We start from the raw sequence: 13,202 nt of genomic DNA on the forward strand, positions 1-13,202 counted from the left end.
AAATTTAACTAAATGAATACAAATAATTTTTTGTACTATTCAAGGACTGATAATGAATAATAATAGAATTTAATTTGGAAAATGCAAGAAGGGGATCATTGAAAATTTGATAGGATCAGTGTAAATTTCTTTTGTTACTAAATGAGTGCTGGAATTTGAATATTTTGGAAAGTAAGTTGGGTGACAGGAGGTAATTGCCAAGGGAGTGGGTTGCTTTCAATTGGGAATATAGAGGCATAGCAATTATTAGCAATGACAAGTCTAGGTTATGATTACAGGAATAAATAGTGAAGTAAGGATGGAATACAAGAGCTTTAGAGGAGAGGAAGTCAAAGAACTGAGAGACGGGGACGTTAAACGGATCATCTATATCAATGCTAATACCAAGAATCAAAGCAGGAAGAGTTCTGAAGAGTAAGAGTAAGCCCAGAACTAAACTCTTCAGGGAATAAAGCAGAGTGTCCCAGGGCTTTGTGGATGACTGCAACAAGTAGGGATACTGGGTGGGATAGCCCAAGGACATGATATTTGAAGCTGGGGGTTCTTAGGGAGGAGGGAGGTACAGTGGCTGGAAACCAATGGTACCTGGAGTCTGGGAGGGAAAACAACCACCATGTAAGTGAGCTGCTAGAGAAACTATGTCCTGAGGGGAGACTCAAGCAGCAGGTTGTGGGGGACAGATGATTGAAAGTCTAGAGAAGAGCGTGAAAATATTAGAGCTCATCGCCTTCACCATCTACACGTAAGGTTTAAAAAAAATTAATGAAAATTCAGTGAATTATCTCGAGAAGCCATCCTTCAGTCCTCAGGTTGGCTAAGAGCTCCTCTCCTGTGTTCTGCTGTGTATCTTTGTCTAGCATTACAGTATAAGAAGTGACCTTTAGAGATTCTGCTCCCTCAACTCAACTGTTAACCCTTGAAGGACAAAAATCATCTCATATTCATCTGTAAGATGACAGTTCCCAGTGAGAAAAGAAAAAGAGTTCAGAGCAGCATGAGCCATGTGAGGTATGCAAAGTTTATCAGGCCCAGAGAGACATAAGTATGAGACTAAAGTCATGGCCTCTCTCCACCCATGCCTGGTGGCATCTTCCTGCCCCCAAGCATGACTAATTCAAGCCAATTAGGCCTTCCCGCTTTATGGTTGGAGGTCAGGCTCGCATCCATGGCATAGACAAGATCTAGGGAACTCAAAGGTTACCGACAGCAGGGGAAAGGCAGCGCGTAGGTAAATGCGGACAGTTCCCACTCCCAGGCCCCCTGTTAACATGGGTGAAAAGCTGCATTGGCACCCACGGGTTGCACCCTGCTGAGGTCACTAGGACTTGGGAATATAAGGATGGAAGAAAGAAAAGGGGATGCTTCTTTCTCTCCCTCACATACCCCAGGTATTTGCTGGGAAGATAAAGAAACTAAGGATGCCTTTTTCCCTTCTTTCTAGATGGGTAACCAATCATCTTCAGCGTGTGTTTCTCTCAAATGCCTCCTGAATCACTGGGATTCCTTTGAGGAAAAAAGAAAAAGCCTTCTTTCCCCTTTTGCCTCCTCTGTCCTCTCTTCACAGATGGGTAATTGTGTCCCCATACCACAGGACACTCCCCTTGGGTGCACCCCCCAAACAGGGAAAACTTAATTACCCCAAACCTTAAGCTGCTTGGCTTAAAACCGAGCTCAGGGGAAGGGAACCCAGAAGTCTGACATGCCGGCAAAAGGATAAAAGTTTTTACCAGTCGGATTTCTGGCTTCCCTCTCCCTGTACAAATGATTGAATGGATGATAAAATCACTGTTTATATCCTCTGTGAAGTTTGGATTAATGGAAAAAAGAATTTATGAGGCCAGTCTTAAGCTGTAACCAATCTGGTGTGCTTGGCGTGACTTTCTATATGGTTCTGCATGAAGAGGAGTACCTTAGGATAGAATATGGGCCTAGGACCCCATAAGCCTACTGTTCAAGCCAGCCAGGCAAATGGTCAGCAACCAGCTTCGGGTCTCCATCTTGTTTTATGTTCTTGGGAGTTTGACATTGTAACCATGTGGCAATACTTTGTTTTGGTCTCTGCCATTTTATAACGGCAGCCTGGGTTCAATTCTGGCTTAGGGAATGAGTACTTTCTGGTTAATATCGTGTGACTTTTACCATTTGCTGATTTTCTTCCCCTCTGTGAACAACTTCTAGCTTCCTTTCTTAAATCTTCCTTTCTCAGAGTCACCTTTAAAGATTCCAGATTTTGTAAAAACTGCTTACCACTACTTTGAAAATACCTCATACACTCACAGTTAAGTCATAACCTTAGTTGAGGCTTGTTGGTTTCATCTGTGAGGTTACTTTCCATAAAGTTCAAAAGCCAGAAATATTGGCCGCGTGGCCTGGCTAAAGTCGGTTAACAGGGGACTTAAAAAGACTTTCTTAAAGAGTGCTCAGCTTAATTAAAAGTGGATATCCAAGGTATTGGTATATTTAAAAGGCCTTTTTTTTTTCCTTGGATCTTGTTTTTCTGGAAAAAGGCTTTTTCTCAGTCAACTGAATTATTTTTTTCCATTTAGTCTTGCCATTCTCGGTGCACGCATGAGAGGCCCTAAGATAACTTGTGAGAGCATGGGACTCCTTGGGAAAAACAGAGAAGGTGCTAGAGACCCCATTTTGGGAAGAAAGCTCTGTTTTCCTTATGGAACCCCGAAATTAAAAACAGATAGGTCCCTCCCAAAATCTGTTTTTGTTTTCCAGCTATGCCTGTTTCTTGGGCCCTGAAAACTGCATGCTTTCCTAGCCCTGCTTCTTGAAGGACTCCACCCTGAGGCCAATGACCCAATTAGGAGATAGGCAAATGAAAAAATCTTTTTTTGTTTTTGAAACAGCATCTTGCTCTGTCACCCAGGCTAGAGTGCAATGCTGCAGTCTCTGCTCACTGCAACCTCTGCCTCCCGGGTTCAAGCGATTCTCCTGTCTCAGCCCCCCGAGTAGCTGGGATTACAGGTGCACACCAAAACACCCAGCTAATTTTTGTATTTTTAGTAGAGATGGGGTTTCACCATGTTGGCCAGGCTGGTCTCGAACTTCTGACCTCAAGTGATCTGCCCACCTTGGCCTCCCAAAGTGCTGGGATTACAGGCATGAGCCACTGTGCTCGGCTCCAAATGAAAAATCTTACAACTACTGGATCTTCTTCTGTCTGTCTGTGTAATCATATGTGTTATGTGTGTGATGGTTATATAAAACAGCTCTAATTCATTGACCTAAAGAAAAATAAACACTTAGATCAAATATTTTTCAAGGAGAAATAAAAGCTGTAATGCCTTTTAGTTCATGTGACTTTAATCTTTGAAACATAAAAACAGTTTTAAAGATAATTGGTAAAGTGCAAATGTCTTCATATGTAAATATATGGTCTAAATTATGTGGGTCAGATACTAGGTTTGCTAAATGTTTTAAGGTTATAAACTACTTTTTTAGCTTTTGAGAACCATTTGATTTGTATACTTTACAATTTGGGAAGGCTTGTGGACATATGGAATTGCCCACCCCTTTAACTATGCTGGAAAGAGTAAGACCTTATCTGTGAATAGAACATAATTAAAATAACTTACCAGAGGCCAGTCTGAGGGCTCCAGTGCCCAAGTAGAGGCAGCAGGTGGCTCCCAAGGCCTGGGCCAGCCGGCCTTCTTCAGTCTGAAGGCCACGCCCTTCTTCCTGCTGCTGTCCAGTTGTCTTTTGACTGCCACATATGGACCCCCAAAGATCTCCAAAGGAAACTTTCCTCATTACAGGAGGAGGTGGCTATTTTGGTTTCCACCTGGGCCATGCTCTGAACCAAAAGGGAGTCCACGTAATTCTATTTGACATCAGCAGTCCTGCTCAAACCATTCCAGAAGGAATCAAGTTTGTACATGGAGACATCCGCCACCTCTCTGACATAGAGAAAGCCTTGACACAGATGTCACATGTGTGTTCCATATTGCCTCTTATGGTTTGTCAGGGAAGGAGCAACTAAATCAAAACCTGATCAAAGAGGTCAGCATTGGGAGTACAGACAACATCCTCCAGGTTTGCCAGAGGAGGGGGGTGCCAGAGAAGAAGGTGCTGGAGGCGAAGAGCACACCCCTGGACAGAGGTGATGGTGTCTTAAGAACCTGTTCTCTGAGGCCGGCTGGCATCTATGGGCCTGGAGAACAAAGACACCTTCCCAGAATAGTCAGCTATATTGAGAAAGACACGTTCAAGTTTGTCTGTGGAGATCCTAGAAGCCTGGTTGAGTCTGTCCATGTGGATAACTTGGTGCAGGCTCACATTCTGGCCTCAGAGGCCCTGAGAGCTGACAAGGGACATATTGCCTCTGGACAGCCCTACTTTGTCTCAGATGGCTGACCAGTGAACAATTTTGAGTTCTTCTGGCCTCTGGTTGAGGATCTGGATTACATGCTCCCATCCACCCACCAGCCGTTGACCATGGTCTACTGCTTTGCTTTCCTAAAACAGATGGCTCGCTTCATTTTGGGTTGACTCTACAACTTCCAGCCCCTCCTCACCCACACTGAAGGTTACAAAACTGGTGTCACCCATTATTTTAGCTTAGGGAAAGCCAAGAAAGAGATAACCAAATTTATTTGTCAATCATGTTCTTGACTGTAACTACACTGGACATTTTGTCATTCATAGACAATTGTTGTCTTGCTTTGATTCTTTTCAAAAGATGGTTTGTAATCAGCTATAGAACTTTGACAGGTGCTCTAAAATGCAGGTTTCTGAGAACTTTGGAGATTATAATATTGGAATAGAGGGAAATGTACAGGATTCATGAAGAGCTGAAATGTTCATGAATATCAAGCAGAACAAGAGTTAATGGAATAGACTGAGCTAATAGAAAACTGAAGTAATCTTTTTAACTTTTGGCTTAAAACGTTGCTGATCCTTGTTTTCCAGAGGCAAGGAAACTTATTTTGAGTTATCTACAGTCTTTAATAATTGAGTAAGCTATACTCTTCTGAACAAAATTTGGAGCGTATTTGTTTCTCTCTCTGCCTGGCTTCTCCTGAATTTGGAAACTATTTGTAAGTATTCTTACCTTGCGGCAATACAGTTATTTGCATCAGTGTAATAAAAGTCCATTTTCTTTTGCAACAGGACACAATTGGAGAAACTGGTTGTTTACCAAGGCTTTGACTGGAAGGATATGCTTCCACTTAAGGAATCTGGCTTGACTTGAAGAGCCAATAAAAGCCCCCTAGGAAAACTGGCCTCATTCCTTGTCTACACCATCCCTGCACAGGATTCCTAACCTGTGATGACTAAAGAATGTCATTTTCTAACGGGCCCTATGTTTTTGGGACTTAAAGAAGAGAGAAATTCACAAAACTCATAGGTGTTTGAGGGTACAAACCCACGGCTAGGCTGGGCTTTAAAAGGTCTTATCTGAGATTTCTTGTGGAACAGAATTCCCTCAAAGCCAATTTAAAAGCCTATGTGAAAAATAATTATTCTTGCTGCACTTTATGCAAATAATCAGGCCAAGTATAAGACTAAAATCTATTTTGCAAACAACTCAGTCCTATCGTGATTTGTTTTTGATAAAAATGAGGACTGGAGAGAGAAAAATTATGTTTCAAAACATATATGCTTGTCATTAAATTCTAATCTCATCAATTGTTTTTAAGATTTTGCCTACATTTTAGACTAACCTTGCTTATTCCTGTGAAACAACCAGTGATCTCTGGCTACAGATCAGAAGAAACAAAAGGGATGGGTAAAGTAAAAATCTGGATCAATGTTTTAATTCTGAGCAATTATCTTGCAAATCCTGCCAGGTGAACCCAGAGGGTTCTTTTTTTTTTGGGAAAATAAGACCAAGGGAGCTAACCAAAGCAAAGCACCATGCATCCAAATCTTAGCAGGCATAGCTGTAGCCATCAGTTATCTGGGCATATTGGCAGCCTTGGGATTTTTGAGCTGTCCTTCCCCCCTTGTTTCATTTTTATATATGTCTGCTAATAACCCAAATTGTTTATTCTCATTTAGAGGCCATTAAACTTCAAATGATGATGCAAATGAATCCATGCATGAATATGCTATTCTTCCAGGGACCCTTAAACCATACTTAGGAGGAGCCCTAATTCAGCTTTCCCAAAACAGCACACCCTGTCAGCAGGAAGCAGTTAAGAACAGTCATTATCCACTTTCTCTAATAGCAGTTGGGGTCTCCTCCTGGAGGGGGTAATGAAAGGAGTTAGCCAGCTTGCCTTAGGCAGACAGTAAGAGAAGGGTCCCCAGAGAACCGGCGACCCACCCCACAAGCACTTACATCAGTTGTTTTGTGCAGATAAGGGAACTTGCACAGGAGGCTTACCTAAACATGCCTACAGTGGAAAATCCCATCCCTTAAAACATGTGCAGTAAGGAAAATAAATCAATATGGAGCAAGTCAGTCTAAGTGCCCGCATGTTCATTGGAAGGACGGGGTGGAGCTACCAGGAATTCACACCTTATGCCCTGGTATTCAACTGTGAAGGGGGCAGCCGGAAACCTGCTTTTCAGGGTCCCTGTCTGCTGAGAGCCTTCCTTTCACTTAATAAATTCTACTCCACTCACTCTTTGATGTCTGAGTGCATATTTCTTCCTCGTTATGAGACAAAAACCTAGACCTAGCTGAGCTAAGGAGCAAAAATCCTGCATCATTGGTGTGGATATATTATTAATATGTGCTCCAAAATCATGTGAAATTTGTAAAATTCTGATATGTCTTTATATACATTGTCAGATATAATTATGATTGTTATTTTAAAATGTTGTCTGCCACAGAAATAACCAAATTTCCTTGTCACATGCATCTTTAGCCATGGCTAAAGACTTAGAGTACTAAGTCCTTTGTCATCCACAGACATTTGTTGTCTTACTTTGATTCTTCTCAAAAAACGGTTTATAATCAGCTATAGTCCAAAATTTGCTTTTTCTCCAAGGAGATTCTTGAAAGTGTACCTTGACAAGTACTCTTGAATACAGGTTTCTGATTACTTTAGATATTATATGATTGGACTGTGTAAAAACACTCAGAACTCTAATAAACTGATGCATTCACGAAGATTGCTAGCCCAACCTCAAGCACAAGAAAAGTTAATGACATGGGACTGAAGTGATAGAGGACTGAAATGATTTTTAAGATGTTTTGTTTGAAGCATTGCTGATTCTTTTTATATTTTGTTTGCCAGAGTCATGAAAAAAATTCTTTTCAGCTATTTGTAGATTATAGCCATTGGGTAAAATAGATCTTTGTGAGTAAAATTGAAGCATTTGCCTTTCTCTCCACCTGATTTCTCCAAAATTTGGAAACTATATGTGAGCATTTTTATTTTATTGGCAATGTAGTTATTTGCATAAGTTTAATAAGAATCTGTTTTCTGTAACAGGACACAATTGGAGACACTGATTATTTTACCAAGGCTTTGACTGGAATGGCATATTTTCAGATATAACCAGACTGCTTTGAAGAATTGAAATTGACTTTATAGAACCAATCAAAAGCCTCTTGAAAAGGATGGCATAGTAACTTATGTACATGGTTCCTTTTTAAGGTTTCTAATTTTGCAGTAAGTAAAGAATACCATTTTCTGACAGCTCTAGGGTCCTCAAGACATGTTGGAACCTCAAGAAGAGAGGAATTTACCCAATTTGTACAGGTATCACAGGTACATCCTGGTGGCAAATTCTTGGCTTGGCTTCCTAACCTCGAGGCTTTTAAAAGTGTAATCCAAAATGCCCTGTGAAAGTTCCAGCAAAGCCAACTTAAAACAGCCTATAGGTCTAATCATGATTCTTATTGCACTTTATGCAAATAATCAGACCAAGTATAATACTATATCTTATTTTACAAGTAAATTGATCCTAGTAAGATTTATCTTTGGTAGAAATGGGAAACTGGAGAGAGTAAAATTATGTTTCCAAGGAAGATTATAGCATACCTGTTATTAGATCGCAGCCCTGACCATTAATTGTTTTTGAGTTTTTATTATTTTCCTAAAATTTGGATTGAATCCCCAGTGAAATAGGTTTCACCACGTATCTCTCATTGCTGTACTTCTTCCAAGACAAACAAAAGCATAAAACTTCAAAAACTAGAGATAATTCAACAAGCAATGGAAGTTATATAAATCACTTGACTGGGATCTATCTAGGAATGGGCCTTCCTTGGGATGCCAAGGGATGAAGGATGCCTATTCTAACCTAAGCAGAGTTTGATCATCAGTGCTTCCATGGGAAGATTTTTGATCTAAGTGGGGAGAAAAGAGAGAAGAAAAATAGCTCAGAGTAGTGTGAGCTATCTGAGGTATGCAAAATTTATTAGGCCCAGAGAGATATGAGTACGTGACTTCAGTCATGCTCCCCACCTCTCACCCCCCCACTGTACTCATGCCTAGGGCAATTGTTTAAAGTCATTTTGTTTCTGACTAGCTACCTCATTCATTATCTTCAGGTTCTCGAACATCATGAGACAGACAACATGGATAGCCAATCAATAGCTTGTCTTATTTTAATGTAATTCTTGCTAAACAACTTAGAAACTGCCTCTTATTTTCCTTTAAAAATCTACTTGTAACTGCTGCTGGTCAGAGAATATATTCAGAACAACTTGAATCTATGGTCCCACAATGTGATCCTCAAGCTCTGCCCAAATAAAGTCTTTACTTATATTAATTATGACACAGCTTGTTTTTAGGTCGACCAGCAAAAGATCTTGCAGGTAGAAGATGGATAGTATATGTTTCTTGGATTAAATTCATGACTATACACTATAATTATTTCTCTCTCAAAAATATGAATAGTTGGAAGTCAAAAAAGTGTTTTATTTCTCCTTGAACCATATTTCTGAGAAAATAATAGGTATGCACAACATAATTTGAAACATAAATTCACCAAGTGGACTCATTTCCATTTCATCCAGGAATTTATCTCAAGTGAAATAGAACTCATTTGGCCAATGGTAACATGGTAATATATTTTTCCATCATCTATTGCTGTCTAACAAACTACCCCAAAATTTATTGACTTAAACCTAACATAGTGACTTAAACTTAACAACGTATTATTTTTCACAATGCTGCAATCTGGGTTGGGCTCAGCTGAGCTGTTGTTCTTCTCCATGTCACATCTGCTGTAGGTATTCACTCACAGGCTTGAAGCCGGGTGGGTTAGAACAGCTGGGGCCTGGCCTAGCATCTCTTTCTCTCCTGTTCTCACAATCTGCCTAGCTTAGGCTTCTTTACAGTAAGGTGATCTCAGGATATTTGGGCTTGTTACCTGGTGTCTGGCTCCCAAAAGAGGAATCGGAAGCTGAAGATCTTTTAAAAACTGGTCTGCAACTGGCAACAGTGTCACTTCCACTGTGTTCTTTTCATCAAAAGTGAACCATAAAGCCAGGCTAGATTCAAGGACAGAGAAAACACATTTTATCTCTTGATGTGAGAAACAAAATGCACATGGAAGTAAATGGGAAAAGGTGAGGAGTTGGTGGAAGAATTGATGGCAGCCATTTTTAGAGACTAGCTCCACAATGTCTACAGCAAGACTTTCCATCTCCTGTAAGCCCTGTTCAAACTCTATTAAAGTGATCAAATTCACTTTAGGAGGCAACTAAATAGCTGAAATAGTTTGTATATTAGTTCCTGCACAAATCTCACGTTAAATTGTAATTTCCAGTGTTGGAGGTGGGGCGTGGTGGGAGGTGATCTGACCATGGGGTCAGGTTTCTCATGATGGTTTGGCACCATCCCTTTGGTGTTGTCCACACGATAGCGAGTGAGATCTGGTAGTTTAAAAGTGTGTTGCATCCACCCGTTTCTCACACCTGCTTTCACCATGTGATGTGACTGCTCCCCTTTTGCCTTCTGCCATGATTGGAAGCTTCCTAAGGCTTCCCCAGGAAAAGATGCCGCTCTGCTTTCTGTGTGGCCTGCAGAACCATGAGCCAATTAAACCACTTTTCTTAGAAATTACCTGGTCTCGGATATTTCTTTATAGCAATGCAAGCATGGCTTATACAATAACTTTAGATTCAGTTTTGAGGTCTGCATCAAGATCTCTGAAACTTCACAAGGACAGCTTCCACACCCCAATTCACTTGAATATAGTTCCATTCAATGGTTATTGAACACTTACCAAAAACAACACCTTATTATTAGCCTTTTTCATTCATTCAACCTCATTTCTCCAAAACTTCCCGGGTCTCCTGCCCTTGTTCTTACTACTGGGCCTGTTGCCACATGACATTGTAAACCTGAAGCATCACATGCCTGGAGTGTCTGTTTCACTGCTCCTTGTTACCACTGTTGGAATAGGCTTGGAACAAACCCTCACATCCTCTTGGAATCCTAGGTAGACTCATGACCAGTGGTGGATACATTTTTGGGGCTCCTTCCTGTCTGCAGTTACTAATTCTTCTTGTATCCTCCTACCCTCACCTCAGGTAAACACTTATTTTGCTTTCATACCAAAGTAAATTTAGTTTTCATTTGTATTTCATGTTATTCTCTACATATGTGTAGAAGCAGCCTGGAGCTTTGATGTGCTCAGCTGTGCCAGCTTTACCTTTATTAGAATACTAGACTCTTGACGGAGGATGTTATCTAGACTTCACCAAGATGGTTTCTAGACAAAACTCATTACAACTATTGTGGTCTCAGAGTTTTTGAAGTATTAAATGGTTTCAGTTGCTCTATCAAAGGAACAATGGAGTTTTCAATTATATGTTATATTCTGAGACTATCTCTCAATAGGAACATAAAAACTCAAGTAACTTTAGACTTTAAATGTATTTTCCTTTATGTATTAATAAATTATTGCTTTATAAAATTGGTGTTGGAGACATAATTTTTCTTTTTCAAAATTAGAAAGTTAATCACAAAATAGGCTTTAGTGTTTATCTCAAAGGTCACACTTTTAGAGATTAGTTTTACAAGAAGAAAACCAAAACCCACAGTTGAGAAATTGAGTTGAAAGTTAATATTCTTTACAGGAAATTCCTGTAAAGGAAACCAGCTTACTCACTCTTTCAACTAAACCCAACCACAAACTTTATCTCATCAAGGAGGTTGGTCAGAGAAGAGTTTGAGATGCTTCTTCTTCAGAGCACTTCCTACTGAAAGAGGTAGTTTATTTGATTTTCCTCTGTATGACCATCCATTTCACAATGTCCATGGTCATTTACAAAATAAGGTTTTCCTTTTTCCTCCAGTTATAATCCTTTATTTTTGAGCTGGTGTAACGTGGCTATTGTGTCTTCTCCAGGTATCTCTCTGGATAGGAAGAAATATAGTAGAACCCTTTGAAAATGGATATTTTCACATATTTTCGTTCAGATACAAAAGCTGGCAGTTACTGAAATAAGGACTTGAAGTTCCTTCCTCTTTTTTTTATGTCTTAAGAGCAGGAAATAAAGGTAAGAGAGCAGTACTTCTTTTTTTTCACTAGATTTCCTAACCAGAAAACATAAGTTGGGAGAATAGCTTAAATAATTTAAAAAATGAGTTGCTAATACAATTACTTTTCAAGAAATATTTTAGAATAACAAAATGGGTTATTTACTAACAAAATTTACATCTCCATATATACGGAGTCTTCACTTAAAAAAACTGATGGTTATAAAATAAACCCGTTTAAAGTGCTTTGAGCATTTTACAGGAAGGGCTAAGAGCAGAGAGATTCAAGATATTTGCCAAATTTGAATGCCCATTTAAACTTAACTGTAACATCTTTGATGGCAGGTACTACAGCTTCATTTTCTGTTATCCCTAGACAATGGGGTCTAAAGCCACCATGGAGCATCTGAGAATCATAATGATATTAGTTAAATTAAATACTGTCACTATTACACGAGACCAAATCTCTGTCTGCAGGTGTTCTCTGTGTAAAGTAGTTTAAGTCTGCCTTTGATGGTGACATTTCTCTCCCTGGGTCTCAGATCCCTGTTGACACTGCTTTCTCCAGCACTTTCCTCTCTCTCCCCCGTTTCTCACCAAAAAGTTTTGTGGGTAAAGTTTAGTTCATTATTTCTGCCAGAGACAGCTGAAGGTGTAGCCTTGACCAACTGAAAGGGAAATCTTCATCCTCTGAAAAAACATATGTGATTCTCAAAAAACGCATCTGGAAAATTGATAAAGAAGCGATTCTGTAGATTCTCCCAGCGCTGTTGGGCTCTCAATTCCTTCTGTGAAGGACAACATATGGTGATGGGGAAATCAGAAGCTTTGAGACCCTCTACACCTGGATATGAATCCCCCTTCTAATACTTACCAGGTATGTGATTATCATTGAGAATGGGCACTGCCATTCCAAGCAATGTGAGCCTTGGTTGTCCATCTGTAATATGAGAAAGACAGCACCCCGCTTCACTTTACAGAAAGTAAATGAGTGCCACATTATTTTATTCCCATAAGCAGAGTCTGAAGCTTGCTTTGGCTTAAGTTGCCCAGTGCTCAATAAATGATGTACTCTGCATTTTGGTGGCTCCTTCCGATTCGGTGAAGCATTTTAGTGACGGCAGCATGGAAGACATCACTTAGACATTAGATGGCCTTCAAAAGGTAGATATTAACAAGCAAGCCACACAGTGTGGGTGTGTTGTCCCACATAAATGAGACTTCCAGAATGGTCTTGGGCTCATGTTGGTCAGTTGCCTACAATGCTGGCAACAGCTACTGTAACTCAGCACTAACCCACCTCCCCAAGCTCTATGCTTATCCCTGAGCAGGGTTTCCCAAAAGTGTCTCCCAGATGAGCGTGGTGGCTCTGACACTTGTTTATAATGTAGGTTCCATTGTTCTTCTCCTTGAGAATCTGATTTAATAAGTCCTCAGGAAGCCCAAAAATCTGCATTTGTAATAAGGGTTTCGGGTGATTCTTATAATCAAGATGATTTGAGAAACACTGTCCCAGAGTGATAGCTGCAGCCTGCAATCAGCCCCAGGCAGCTGGAGGTCTGAGGCCAGTTGGTGGGTGGGTGCATCAGTAGGCAGTATCTGTCATCTCAAGGTTGGCGGACATTCCTGAGTGCTGGAGACTGCTGGGCATCGTGGTAACTAATTTGCTATAGGCTTGGACATTTAGACATAAATTGCGGGATGGTAGAGCTGGGAGGATCTTAGCAACCATCTGATCTTATGATTTACAAGTCAGGGAGCTTTTTTAAAAATTACAAATATCCCGACTTAAACATCAGA

The 13,202-nt window shown here is 40.2% G+C and overlaps 1 protein-coding gene and 1 pseudogene across 11 annotated transcripts in view; both read left to right on the forward strand.

Moving 5' to 3' along the window:
• On the forward strand, positions 3,642 to 4,593 carry SDR42E1P5 (short chain dehydrogenase/reductase family 42E, member 1 pseudogene 5; annotated as a pseudogene).
• Positions 11,103 to 13,202, forward strand: part of IL18RAP (interleukin 18 receptor accessory protein) — a 33,945-nt gene continuing 31,845 nt past the window's right edge. For 8 of the 11 annotated variants that reach the window (XR_007083519.1, XM_024453197.2, XM_047446162.1 and 5 more), the window contains exons 1-3: positions 11,103 to 11,131; positions 11,272 to 11,422; positions 12,043 to 12,279. The gene's annotated coding sequence lies outside the window, so the exon portion shown is untranslated. Of the gene's footprint in view, positions 11,423 to 12,042; positions 12,280 to 13,202 lie in introns of all 11 variants that reach the window. The other 3 variants (NM_001393488.1, NM_003853.4, XM_024453201.2) reach the window with 2 other exon arrangements.

Source organism: Homo sapiens, chromosome 2 (genome assembly GCF_000001405.40).
Source record: "Homo sapiens chromosome 2, GRCh38.p14 Primary Assembly".
Classification (NCBI taxonomy): Eukaryota; Metazoa; Chordata; class Mammalia; order Primates; family Hominidae; genus Homo; species Homo sapiens.